At 41.8% G+C, this 13,003-nt stretch overlaps 1 protein-coding gene across 18 annotated transcripts in view, besides 1 other annotated feature; it reads left to right on the top strand.

The window, feature by feature from the left end:
- The window catches only part of AKR1E2 (aldo-keto reductase family 1 member E2), a 48,265-nt gene that overhangs the window by 21,414 nt on the left and 13,848 nt on the right, over positions 1-13,003 (top strand). For 5 of the 18 annotated variants that reach the window (XR_930518.3, NR_073126.1, NR_073125.2 and 2 more), the window contains 2 exons: positions 762-913; positions 1,102-1,676. Coding sequence is in view for 7 of the 18 variants with exons in the window: in XM_011519715.3 (XP_011518017.2) it covers positions 762-844; positions 1,102-1,144 (126 nt within the window). In the remaining 11 variants the exon portion in view is untranslated. Of the gene's footprint in view, positions 1-761; positions 914-1,101; positions 1,677-7,728; positions 8,044-13,003 lie in introns of those variants that run through there. The other 13 variants (XM_011519715.3, NM_001040177.3, NM_001271021.2 and 10 more) reach the window with 5 other exon arrangements.
- Positions 3,311-3,605: an enhancer, noted in NCBI's record as "tiled region #4775; K562 Activating DNase matched - State 5:Enh". NCBI's record gives its function as "activates a minimal TATA promoter and a strong SV40 promoter by Sharpr-MPRA in K562 cells {active_cell/tissue: K562}" and the evidence as "EXISTENCE:reporter gene assay evidence [ECO:0000049][PMID:27701403]".

The following is a 13,003-nucleotide window of genomic DNA, read 5'->3' on the forward strand; positions in this document are numbered from 1 at the left end:
AAGAAAAATGGATCACTCAGAAAATGTACTCTGTGATATGGGTACTGTTAGAGTTCATAGTCCCAGGGCCAAGTGGGTCCCTAGTTGGCAGGTGTATGGAACAAATTGTTTTGTTGGGGTTTTGAGGGGTAGCAGAGTCAGTGGGAAAAATTCTGTGCCATCCTTTTTTTTTTTTTTGAGATGGAGTCTCACTCTGTCATCCAAGCTGGAGTGCAGTGGTGCGATCTCGGCTCACTGCAACCTCCACCTCCTGGGTTCAAGCGGTTCTCCTGCCTCAGCCTCCTGAATAGCTGGGACTAGAGGCATATGCCACCATGTCCGGCTAATTTTTAAATTTTTAGTAGAGATGGGGTTTCACCATATTGGCCAGGCTGGTCTCAAACTCCTGACCTCGTGGTCTGCCCATCTTGGCCTCCCAAAGTGCTGGGATTACAGGCGTGAACCACCGCGCCCAGCCGCTATAACTTTTAACAATTCCCATATGTCCTTTATTCCACTAAGATGAGTGCAGTATATATTTCCATCTGTCCAAGGCTTCCTAAATGTAGCCAAGGCCAAGCCAACACCAGTCACATGATCAAAATCAAAGGGCATTTGGGGAATCCAGGCTGTGATTCAGGGAAGTTCCAAGTGTCTGATGAAGTGTTTGTTTTACATCTTTGTGTCCCTTGCAGGTCTAGCACTGTGCTATGTAGGTAACATGTGCTCCATTAAATGTGAATTAAACTAAGTTTTCTACAAACATTGTGTTTTGGTTCCAGGTGTTTGATTTTGAATTAACACAGCACGATATGGATAACATCCTCAGCCTAAACAGGAATCTCCGACTGGCCATGTTCCCCATGTAAATATGGCTCCTTCTTTTTAAAACAGAGGGAAGAATATACAGATTGAATGATTGGTGTCTGAATAGGTATTTATCATACACATTTTAGATTAATTAAACTTTCTCATTATAATTCTTTCCTGTTTGAAGATGAGCCACTGAATGAAGCTAATTTCATGCACTGGGGAGTTTAAAAGTATATACCATTTAAAATGTTTCTCTTAAAAAATAATCATTCTTTGTTCCTATTTTTGATTTGTTTTTCTGTTTTTCAGAACTAAAAATCACAAAGACTATCCTTTCCACATAGAATACTGAGGACGCTTCCCCTTCCTTGTTTCTGCTCAGCCCAGATGCACAGACACTATTGGCAATGTTGACCCTCCTCTGTCATCACAGCGCCAGGGCAGCTGTGCCTGGGACAGGAGCCACACAGTCAGAGGGGGATGTAAGAGCCACCTTCTCTGACAAATCTGGAGAATTGAGTGTGTTCTAAGTGAAGGCAATGGGGTTTCTCCAAGACAGCCTGTGTGGCCTCTACTCTGAACAAATACACTGATGAGTCATCAGTGAAATTTGCCTTCACATTTTAAGAAAACTTTATCTTATGGAGTTATTTAAGCCATCTACAGAGCTGAGGAAACAGTGTAATGTGTCTCTGCCCCATTGCGCAGCTCCACCCATTGTGCCCCAGGCCAGCCCGCGTCACCTACACTTCCTTCTGTGCCCTGCCAGTGACCCCCAGGTTATTCTAAAGCAGAGTCCTTCCCTTCCCCCAGTGAGAAGGAAAATGGGATAAGTCTGGGACACTGTTTCAGTTCAATAAAGAGGCTTTTTTCTTCCTTAAAAATCTGAATTTTAATTTCTTTTTTTTTTTTTTTTTGAGACAGAGTCTCACTATGTCACCCAGGCTGGAGTATAGTCAAGTGATCTCAGCTCACTGCAACCTCCGCCTCCTGGGCTTAAGTGATCCTCCTGCCTCAGCCCCCCAAGTAGCTGGTTAATTCCTAAATACTAGTTTTTAATACGGTCTTCTGATAAGTCAGATTATACCTGGGGAACCCCCATAGCGGAGATGAAATACAGCTCACTTTCTCACATCTGCTCATTCAGCCTGTTTAGATTCATGTATCAGAAGGAGGCCCTGCAGAGCATGGTGTTCACGCCCAGGCGTTGGTAGAGGGTGTGGGTTAATGGACTTCCTGTGGTCCAGACGCCATGATCCCTGTCTTTGCTGTCTGCTCAGTGAATCTGGCCTAGCTCCTGTGCCCTGGGATTCATACCGGATCTCCAGGGATATAACTTCTCAACTCACAGGCCCTTGGCTCCTATTCAAAATGAGTTAAGCCAGAAAGAAATTGATGTCTACTCCATGGTCTCTTCCCGCTTCTTGTGTCCCCCACATCAGCCTCCAAACAAGCCTCTCATTTCCTCCTCCCTCTGCATCAGGTTCAGGGAAGATATGGAGGTGTTGCCCAGTGGCTGAAGGGGACTGTTTGGGGACAGTTCCCCTCCACATCACTTCCCATTTTCACTCTATCACAAGCAGGCCAGCTGAGTCAGAGGTGTGGGTTCTGCAGATAAAAGTTGTGCTTTTCTAGCTCTGTGATCCTGAGCAGACTGCCTCACCTCCCAGCCTTCAGTGTCCTTGTCCACTCAGTGGAGGAATTGCAGCACCTCCCGGTTGTGGAGACAGCATCTGGCCCAAGTTATGTTCTAGGAAGAATGCATTGTTACTGCGACCAGTATCATTGCCATTGCCTCATTCCTCAGTTTCTCATCCACCTCCCTGCCCAGCCTTCCAGATGTGCAGGGATGTGTAGAAACCTTCTAGCTTGGCCTCAAGAGAGGACTTTGCTGCGGGTGTCACCAAAACGAAAAGACATGACTGGTGCAAGAGCTTCATGGGAGCCTCGCCCTAGTGGGGGTAGGATTGAGGGTGGGGTGTCATGGTTTGACCAAATTTCCAGGGAGAGTTTAATCAGAAGACTGTTTACAAAGGACTGAGGAAATGGGAGAGTCTCTTGACCTTCCTACGATCAGGCCCTGTCCACCACCATGGACCTTTAATTTTTCCATGTTCGTGACTCCTTATCATTCATTAGCTGTGTGACTTTGTGCAAATTACTTAACCTTTTAAACCTTTAAACTCTTTGTCACTGTCTACCTAGAGGTGTTAGGATTCAGTGGCATAGTGCCATGCAGCAGGTGACACAGTCATCTGCATGTAGCACTCTTGTGAACACATGCGTGTGTAGGTGTGTGACTTGTATTTTATCTCCCACAGAGTCAAAAATCTAACTGCTATTTTGTGAATTTTCCTTGTCACTTATACTTAAACCATTGTTCATTGACCTTAAAAGTAGAGAGTAGAATGGTGGTTACCAGAGGCTGGGGAGGGCAGGGGTGGATGGCTGATGAGGAGAGGTTGGTCAGCAAGGACACAGTTGCAGTTGGGAGGAATGAGTCTCAGCGCTCCATTGCACAGTAGCGTGAGTTGGTTAACAGTAATACGTCAGGTGTCTCACGATAGCTGGCCAATGAGGATCCACTACGTTATTTGCATTTCATGGATTTACTTCCAGCCGGCATGAAAACTGAGTGAAGCTGGCCACCAGGTGGCGCTGGGAAGCACTTAATGGTCCAGTGCATCTGCGGCTCTTAACAGGAGATGGCAGCCTTTTACTGTCTTTGATTTTAAGACCTCTTCAACTTTGTACAATCACAGTGAGGAAGGAAACAATGGATAGCAAAAATAGGCAAACACTGGGCAACTGCAAAGCTTAAAAAGTTTCACAGAAGTTACGCAGCCTCGTTCTTGAGCAGTATTTCCCAGTTCCCTTTTCAGATGGTAATTGATAACCCGGCCCCTCTTGTCTGTTCATTCTGAGTGGAGCTGACAAGCCCTCCCCTTCTTTGGTTCCCTGCTTTTCTCTAGGGAATGTGACTTCTGTGTAAGTTCTTCCCCACTCTGGGGCCTGGAGACCAAGGTCCACAGAGGAGGTGTAAACGTGTGCCCTTAAGGGACCCTCTGCGTCAAATGATTGTGGGCATCTCTCCTGACTTTAAGACTGGGAGATACTCAGATACTCGTTTCAGTAGCTGCTTCTCCTCATTGGCACTTTCGTATTTTATTTGAATGGAAAATCCAAGGATAAGTGGTAATCAAAGGCTTAAAAAGCTGGAAACAGATTCGGGAGGTGTGGATGGGCATCAAATGGGCATCAAGGAGCAAGAGACCTTGGGGAGGATGGCAGGGCCTCGCTGACTGATGGCAGTTTATGTTTGATTGTTTTGAGAAACTGCCAACTGTTTCCCAAAGTGCACAGGCTTACAGTCGCATCAGCAATGTGCGAGGTTCCGGTTTCTCCACACCCTCGCCAGCATTAGTTTTGGTCTGCCCCTGTTGTTGTTACAGCTGTTTTAGTGGGTGTTCAATGGTGTCTCATTGTGGATTTCATTACAATTCCTTACTGCCTAATGATCTGAGCATCTTTTCATGTGCTTATTGGCCATTTGTATGTCTTTGGTGAAATCCCCCATGGCATTCCTATGAGTTCACTGTGGGTGCCGCAGGGTGACTATGTGCACAATCTTGGAACTGTGCATTTAGACACTATTTATTAGTTCCCAACTTTAATCAATGATAAAATTCGCATTTTAGCACGTTTATTTCTCCATCTTTTCTCTTTCTTCCATTTCTCCTTTTCTTCACACAGACATCTAATATGCACCTTAAACTTTATGTGTCTAAAACAATGCTTCAAGCTCAACCCCAGCTCTCCAACAAGCTTTCTTTATTGTTATTCCTTAGTTATAAAGATGAGGGAGACTTGGTCTTGCCCTTAAACACCCAAGTTGAAATGGGAGAGGCACGCATGTGGAGGCGATCACAGAACAGTGACATGTGATGCGACCAGCTCTGGCTGGGTTTGGGCACATTTTCATTTTATATCATGAAATTGATCAAGACCCTGTGTCTTCATTGTGTTCCTTTTTCTTGTTATGCAGCATATTTTCACAGGACTGAATTCTTTTACGTATCCATACACTGGGGCAAATCAACTATCCAGACCTAGGTTAGCAACATTAGATGATGTGACATCCACCATACTGTGGTCATTGTCACTCCCGGTTGGATTCTGCTCTGGGCAGAGAGGGCTAATGGGCGTGACTCTAGGCCCAGTTTCCATAGCCTGGCAGTCCTCACTAGGAGGCTAGAGCTGGACTGGAAGCCTGTCTTCACCAACTGGTTTCTGGTACTTTGAACACATGGAGAACAAGGAAAACTACAATTTTTAATGTGCACTTCTGTCACGTATCGCCTCTGCCACTTAGAATTATATCCATGCTCCAACACCAATCCCTCCCTAACATTAGCTAGTACTAACTCGATGCTTTCTGTGTGCCAGGTACTATTCTATAAGTATGTTACAGGTTTTAACTGAATCTTCACAGAAAGGTAGGATTTACCATTATTTCTGTTTTATAAATGAAATAACCAAGGAATAGAGAAGTTAAGTAAATTACCCGCAAATACCCAGCTAGTAAAGTGATGTAAGTAGAATTTGACTCGGGAAATCTGGCTTCAGAGGCTGGGCTTTTAATTACATACCATGTGGGAAACAGTTAACTAGGTACTCTTTCTCTTGGAATTAATCTTTTTAAACTATGTAAATAAGAGGGTGAGACTTTTGGTGTTGATTCCCGAGAAGATAGGACACATTCCACCCCACAGGACTGGCATGTGGCCCAGTGACAGTGCCAGACCCTTTGAACACACAGCTCCGTTCCATGTGACGCCAGTGGAAAATCAAACATTTCTTGGCAGTATTGACGAGTATTTGGATGAAAGAAACAGAAGAGCTCATTAAACCTGCAAAACTCTATTCCAATGGTGACCAGCATTACTTCACCTGGGAAATCATTGAAAAACAATTACTGTGAGACTGGATTGGTGAGTCACACGAGTTCAAGCCATTATATGCTTAATTTACTTCCAGCCCTGATTTTAAACAGAGGCGGTATATTTAAATCAGAAGGAGATACGGAAACAGCAATTTCTTGGCTAGAAAAATCAGCATCTCTAGGGGGAAGTGGAAAATTCTCAAAGAGCTGAAGAGCATGAAAAAGGCTCCTTCTCTTGTCAAGATAGATCACGGCCCTCATTAGTGAAGAAGATTCTGCAGGCACAAAGGGCCCTGAACAAATGCTGGGCAACAACAGAAACTGTGGTGCGATTAATTCTTGTAAAATAATAAGACAGAAATAGCTCCATCAATGGAAGGAGAATACCGTTAGCTAGAGACTACCCAAAGGAAGAGAATCTCTGAAATTAAGTTAGATTAAGTGGGATTGAGTTGTGACAGCTGCAGGGACAGACCTTCACCACTGTGCCACCCCACCTGGTGTCTAATGAATTTACGCTGAAGCAGGTTAGGACAGTTTGCAAGCAGAAAATACAACAGAGATGGATTGGCAAGGTCTGCTGGAATTGCTGCTGCTTTTTTATTTTCATTTTATTTTGTTGTTTTTGTTCTAAAAATATTTTATTCTTTTTTTTGGCTTACACGGCAGAAATCCATTTTCTCACAGTTTTAGAGGCTAGAAGTCTAGGGTCAAGGTGTTAACAGATTTGGTTTCTTCTGAGGCCTCTCTCCAGGACTTTTCCTTCTGTGTCCTCACATGGTCTTCCTTCTGTGTGTGTCTGTGACCTTGAGGGATATTTTAAAGCTGAAGAGATAAAAGAGGTTGTGGGGCTATGTCTTAAGACAAAAGAACATTTAGGAAACCTCAGGAAATGATCAGAGTGGGATAGATGTTACTAGAAGAAACAAAGAAATTGAATTCAATTAGGAGTTAGAATCATTTACAAAGCAATGGGGAAAGTAAGCCCCTAAAAACTATTGTAGCATATAGTAACCAGAGCCAAACTCTCATAATATATTCCCCAAGGCAAAAGAAAAATATTTACAAGATTGGCGTTGTTTTATATGTTTGCAAACTTATTTAATAAGTCTGGCTTTGTAGATTTCATATCTGAGTCTGCATTCAATCAAAATGTCTTGGCTAAACTTCATGAAAAAACCCCAGCCTCATAAATTAGTAGTTGGAAAAAGGAGGCATATTTAGAGCTTTTTCAGATAATTGTATTTCTTTGATACATTAGACTGGACACACAGTAGTTTGTTTAAGGTTAATTGCAATATTGCAATGAGGAACTTGTTGCCAAAAAAAAAAAAAAAACCAAACTCTGTAAAATATCTGAAGAGATTGATTCTAAGCCAAATATGAGAACCATGACCCATGACACAGCCTCAGGAGATCCTGAGGACATGTGCCCATTGTGGTCTGGTTACAGCTTAGTTTTATATGTTTTAGGGAGACATAAGACACCAATCCGTATAAGTGAGATAGACTTTGGTTTGGTCTGGAAACATGGAACAACTGAAAGTGGGGACAACTGTCAGAGGCATTTAAATCAGAGCAACTCCACCTTGAATAGGGGCTGAGTAAAATGAGACTGAGACCTATTGGGCTGCATTCCCAGATGGTTAAGGCATTCTAAGTCACAGGATGAGATAGGAGGTCACACAAAATACAGGTCATAAAGACCTTGCTGATAAAACAGGTTGCAATAAATCCCCCAAAACCAAGATGGCGATGAGAGTGACCTCTGGTCGTCCTCAATGCTACACTCCCACCAGCGCCATGGCAATGTCAGGGAGCTACCCTATAGGGTCTAAAAAGGGGAGGCAGAAATAATGTACTCCTTGTTTAGCATATCATCAAGAAATAACCATAAAACTGGGCAGCCAGCAGCCCTTGGGGCTGTTTTGTCTATGGAGTAGCCATTCTTTTACTCCTTTACTGTTTTTTTTTTTTTTTTTTTTTTTTTTTAGACAGAGTCATGCTCTGCTGCCAAGGCTGGAGTATAGTGGCACTATCTCAACTCACTGCAAACTCCACCTCCCGGGTTCAAGTGATTCTTCTGCCTCAGCCTCCCGAGTATCTGGGACTACAGGTGCATGCCACCACATCCAGCTAATTTTTGTATTTCTAGTAGAGATGGGGTTTCACCATATTGACCAGGCTGGTCTTTAACTCCTGACCTCATGATCTGCCCACCTTGGCCTCCCAAAGTGCTGGGATTATAGGCATGAGCCACCGCACCTGGCCTACTCCTTTACTTTCTTAATAAACTTGCTTTCACTTTACTCTGTGGACTTGCCCTGAATTCACTCGTGCGAGATCTAAGAACCCTCTCTTGGGGTCTTCTTCCAGACCCTTTGCTGTAACATCTTTCTTGTGACCACTGAAGGGACTATAGTGAGGAACCCCCCGCCCCGACCCAGAGGCTAACTTTGGGTAAGTGGTGGGTGGGGTCCAGTAACATTTTTCTCATGAACCACAAAAGGGCTGATACTGAGGAGACCTCCCACCCAAAGGAAATAGACTACAGCAGTGATCAGCGGACTTTGGGTAAGTGGGGTGTGTATACCCAGGTAAAGAATGGGATTTGGTAGCAGGCCTAACTTAGGGGAGTTAGGGTCTCTCCTAAGACAGAGTAGGTTAGAGGCCCCTCTTCATAAAAGGCAAGGACACTTGACTGACCTTGGGTTAGAGGCCCAACTAAGGAGGGTTAGAGGCCCCTCTGGGTAAAGTCTCTTTCGGCTAAGAATGGGTTTGGCACTATGGGATGTTAACTGCTATTGTCTTTGGAATAATCTGCCTTGCCCTCTTTGCTGATGGCTATGGGTGACAGGATTAGACATGTACAGGATCATGGGACATGGGGAGCTTTTTCCTCCCTAAGAAGGGAAACTTGAGAGCTGATGGGACTGCTGGAAAAGATCGCTTCATGACCACAAGTTGCCACCTGAACTTTTCAGTGTAGCTGCCTTTGGGTGGGTCTTTCTCTGTCCTCCCTGAGCACCTTGCCTTTCCCACCCTGCCTCAGGCAGTGCTTCACCATCCCTGCAAATGGGTTGAATGAATGGTAAAAATAACTGTTTATCTTCTCTTCTTTGTAAAGTGTTGATTAATGGAAAAAAGGATTTGTGAGGCTAGTCATAAGTTGGGGCAAATCTGATGTGCTTTGTGTGTCTTTCTGTATTGTTCTGTCATAAGGAGGAGTATCTTAGAATAGAATATGGGCTTAGGACAGCTATACACCTGCTGTTCAAGATGGCCAAGCAGACGTGTCAGTTATAAACTTTGCTGCAGGTCCCAGAAAAAAACCGGATGAGGTTTCCCCCTTGTCTTGTGTGTCCTTGCGAGCTTGACCTTGTAACCATGTGGCAGTACTTTCTCTTGGTTTCTGCCATCACAATGGCAGCCCAGGTTCAGGTCCAATTCCTGGCTTAGGGAATGAGTCCTTTATCTTCTCTCTGTCTGTATTTGTATGTGTTGTGCATGTAATGTTTACATACGAAAGAGCTTTAATTTATTGGCTTAAAAAGAATAAGAGCTTAAATCAAACATTTTGTCAGAAAAATAAAAAGTGTAATGCCTTTTAGTTCATGTGACTTAAGTAATCTTTGGGAAATAAAGACAGTTTTAAAGATTATTGGTAAAATAAATACATTTGGTCTAAATTAGGCAGGTCAAATATTAGGTTTGCTAAATGCTTTAAGGGCATAAACTGCTTCTTAGACTTTTGAAAATTGTTCAATTTACCTAGTTCGGAGCATTCGATTCTAGATAAGGCCTGGGGACATGTGGAGAGCCATGCCCCCTAGCTGTGCAGGAAACAGTCAGCCCTTACCTGAACTTCTGTCTGCTGTCCTAGCCTGCACACCTAGTACAAAATTAAAATCCCAAACTTACCAAGGTTTTTCACCAAAAGTAAAAGTCGCTTAGAGTTAACAGTGTAACATATATTTGAGACTACTGGAGAAACTGTTCTACATGCAAGGTATGTAAAGAAAGTAGAATATGTTTTTGGTAAAAGACTATAAGAAGTCATGGGAATGTAGATTTTTCTGCTAAAGGGTTAAATAATTGTCTTAAGTTAGAGTAAAGCTGAAGGTTTAAGCTAGTCGTGGAAGGTTTGTGAAAAATTAATCCTGTAAAAGAAATTCTGTTTGTGAACATATTGGCTAAAGTTAAAGGGGTATTATCTAGCTTTTTGTAGACTGAATATTGGAATAAAAGCACAACAGGTTTTTCTTAGAGCAAAAACCTGCTTATGACCTGCTCTTTAACAAAAATTATAAAGGGTTATAAAAGCTTTATAAGAATCTTACCTTATGGTCAAAGTGAATACGATTGGATACATTTATCTATAAGGTTTTATTAAGAATTAGGTCTGACATCAATAATGCACTAATGCAACAGTGACAGTTGACTTATTTGGTATAAAAGTCATACAGGAAGCATTGTCAAATATGAAATGGTGTTTGATTTTCTTTCAGGTGTGTTTGTATAAATGTATTATTAGTATATGTTCCAAAATTATGGGAAACTGCTATAATTCTGATATGACTTAGTGTATGTTATTAATACACTAGTTGTTACATAAAATCATTCCATGGCACAGAGGTAACCAAATTTCTTTGTCAATTATGTTTTTGACTGTAACTGTCCTGAGACTTTTGTCATCCATGGACAATTTTTGCCTTGTTTTGGTCCTCTTTAGAAGATGGTTTATAATCAACTGTAGAACTCTACTGTTCGGTGGTATTAAGTACATTCACATTGTTGTGCAACCATCACCATCATCCACTTCCAGAGTATTTTCATCTTCTCCAGCTGAAACTCTCTACTTATTAAACAATAACTCCCCATTCCCTCCTCCTCCAACCCCTGGCAACCACAAGTCTACTTTCTTGATCTATACATTTGACTCCTCTAGGGACCTCATATAGGTAGAATCACACAATATTTGCCTTTTTATGCCTGGCTTATTTCACTTACCATATTGTTTTCAAGACTCATCCATAATTCATTAGTTCACATTGCGTGGCTGTACCAAAACATCTTATGTACCCTGATATGGTTTGGATCTGTTTCCCCACCCAAATCTCATGTTCAATTGTAATCCCCAGTGTTGGAGGTAAAACCTGGTGGGAGGTGATTGGATCATGGGGTTGGAGTTCTCATGAATGGTTTAACACCATCCCCCACTTGGTACTGTATAGTGAATGAGTTCTCATAAGATCTAGTTATCTAAAAGTGTGTAGTACCCCCCACACACACATCTTCTCTGTCTTCCTCATGCTCCAACAATGTGAAGTGCCCCTCCCTCTTTCCCATCTGCCATGATTGTAAGTTTCCTGAAGCTTCCCCAGAAGTTGAGCAGATGCCAGCATCATGCTTTCTATACAGCCTGTGGAACTGTGAGCCAGTTAAACCTCTTTTCTTTGTAAATTACCCAGTCTCAGGTATTTCTTTATAGCAATGCAAGAACAGACTAATACGTACTCCATAAATATATATACCCGCTATATGCCCACAGAAATTAAAAATAAAAATAAAAATTTTTAAAAAGATTCATCCATGATTCAGTATTGGTAGGTTATGTGTTTCTATGGATTTGTTCATTTTATCTAGGTTATCTAACTTGCTGGCATACAACTTTTTACACTACTCTCTCATACTTTTTTTTATTTAAATGAGTTTTTAAATTTCTGATTTCAGTTGAGTCTTATCATTTTTTAATTTTCTTAGTAAAGCAAGCTAAATGTTTTTCAATTTTGTTGACCTTTTTTGAAGAACCAACTCATTGTTTCATTGTTGTTTATTTCTACCTTTGTAAATATTTTCTATTTTATATATCTCTTCTCTTGTCTTTATTATTTCCTTCCTTCTGTTAGATTCGGTTTCGTTCTTTTTCTAGTTCCTTAGGATGTAAAGTTAGTTTGTTGATTTTACCATGTTAGTTTTAATATAAATATTATCTATGTTGTCAATTTCTTTCATTGACATTTCAGGAAAACGAGTCAAAATGAGTCATACTTATTCTTTGACTTTGTTTGACGTAGCTCATAGTGTTAACTACTCCAGGGAAACAAATTTGAGAAGATCAATTTTAGGCCATTTGAAAATTGGAGTCAGTAAGCATATGAGTAGATCTTACATATATGAAGAAAAAAAGGAAAGTTGGGTACTGTTTTTATATAGACCCACTCATTTATTTCTTCATTCATTCATTCATTCATTCATTGAGCCTACAGCAGGCTGAATCCTATATTCCCCATTAAAAATGAATAGATGAATTGTCTTTGGTCTTTACCACAATATTAAATGGTGGAGATAGTCATGTAAGCAAATAATTATTTCAATGCAATTGGTGCTTCAATTGAGGTAACACAAGTTAGCATAGAACTACAGAGAGAAAGTGTGTGGAAGATCAGGCCAGGGTGGTGGAGACATTTTAGATGAATGCCTAAGGTTCAATAGAAAGACTGCCCAAGACGAGAGGAATATTTCAGGCAGCTTTTACAATGTTCTATATGGTGTTTCAAGGTGGAAAGAAGGCATGCACTAGGGGAGTAGCAATTCGTCGGCACAACCAGAGACTAGAATGCATGGAGATGAGTGGTGGAAGATGAGGCTGAAAAGGTGGGTAGAAATCAGATCACTTTAAACACATACTAAGGAATTTGGATTTTTTTTTTTTTTTTTTGAGATGGAGTCTCACTTTGTCACCCAGGCTGGAGTACAGTGGCGTGATCTCAGCTCACTGCAACCTTCGCCTCCCTGGTTCAAGTGATTCTCCTGCCTCAGCCTCCTGAGTAGCTGGGATTACAGGCATCCACCACCACGACCAGCTAATTTTTGTATTTTTAGTAGAGACGAGGTTTCACCATGTTGGCCAGGCTGGTCTCAAACTCCTGACTTCAGGTGACATCCGCCTCAGCCTCCCAAATTTCTGGGATTACAGATGTGAGCCACTGCACCCAGCCAGGAATTTGGATTTTATCAACGAGATCATGTATGGTCTTTGAAGTTTTGTCACAATTTATTCATTTATTTCACCCACATAAATTGAATCCCAATGTGTTAGTCTATGTATTGGGTTTAGGATACAAATATGAATGAAGCATCGTTTCTATTCTCAACTCTGTCAGTTGAAACACAACAAATATCAGGCACAACAAATGGAAAATGAAACGTTGAGTGTGATATGTGCTACGACTACATTCGGTACCAGAGGCCAAGAGGCAGGGAGGA

Source organism: Homo sapiens, chromosome 10, assembly GCF_000001405.40.
Source record: "Homo sapiens chromosome 10, GRCh38.p14 Primary Assembly".
NCBI lineage: Eukaryota > Metazoa > Chordata > Mammalia > Primates > Hominidae > Homo > Homo sapiens.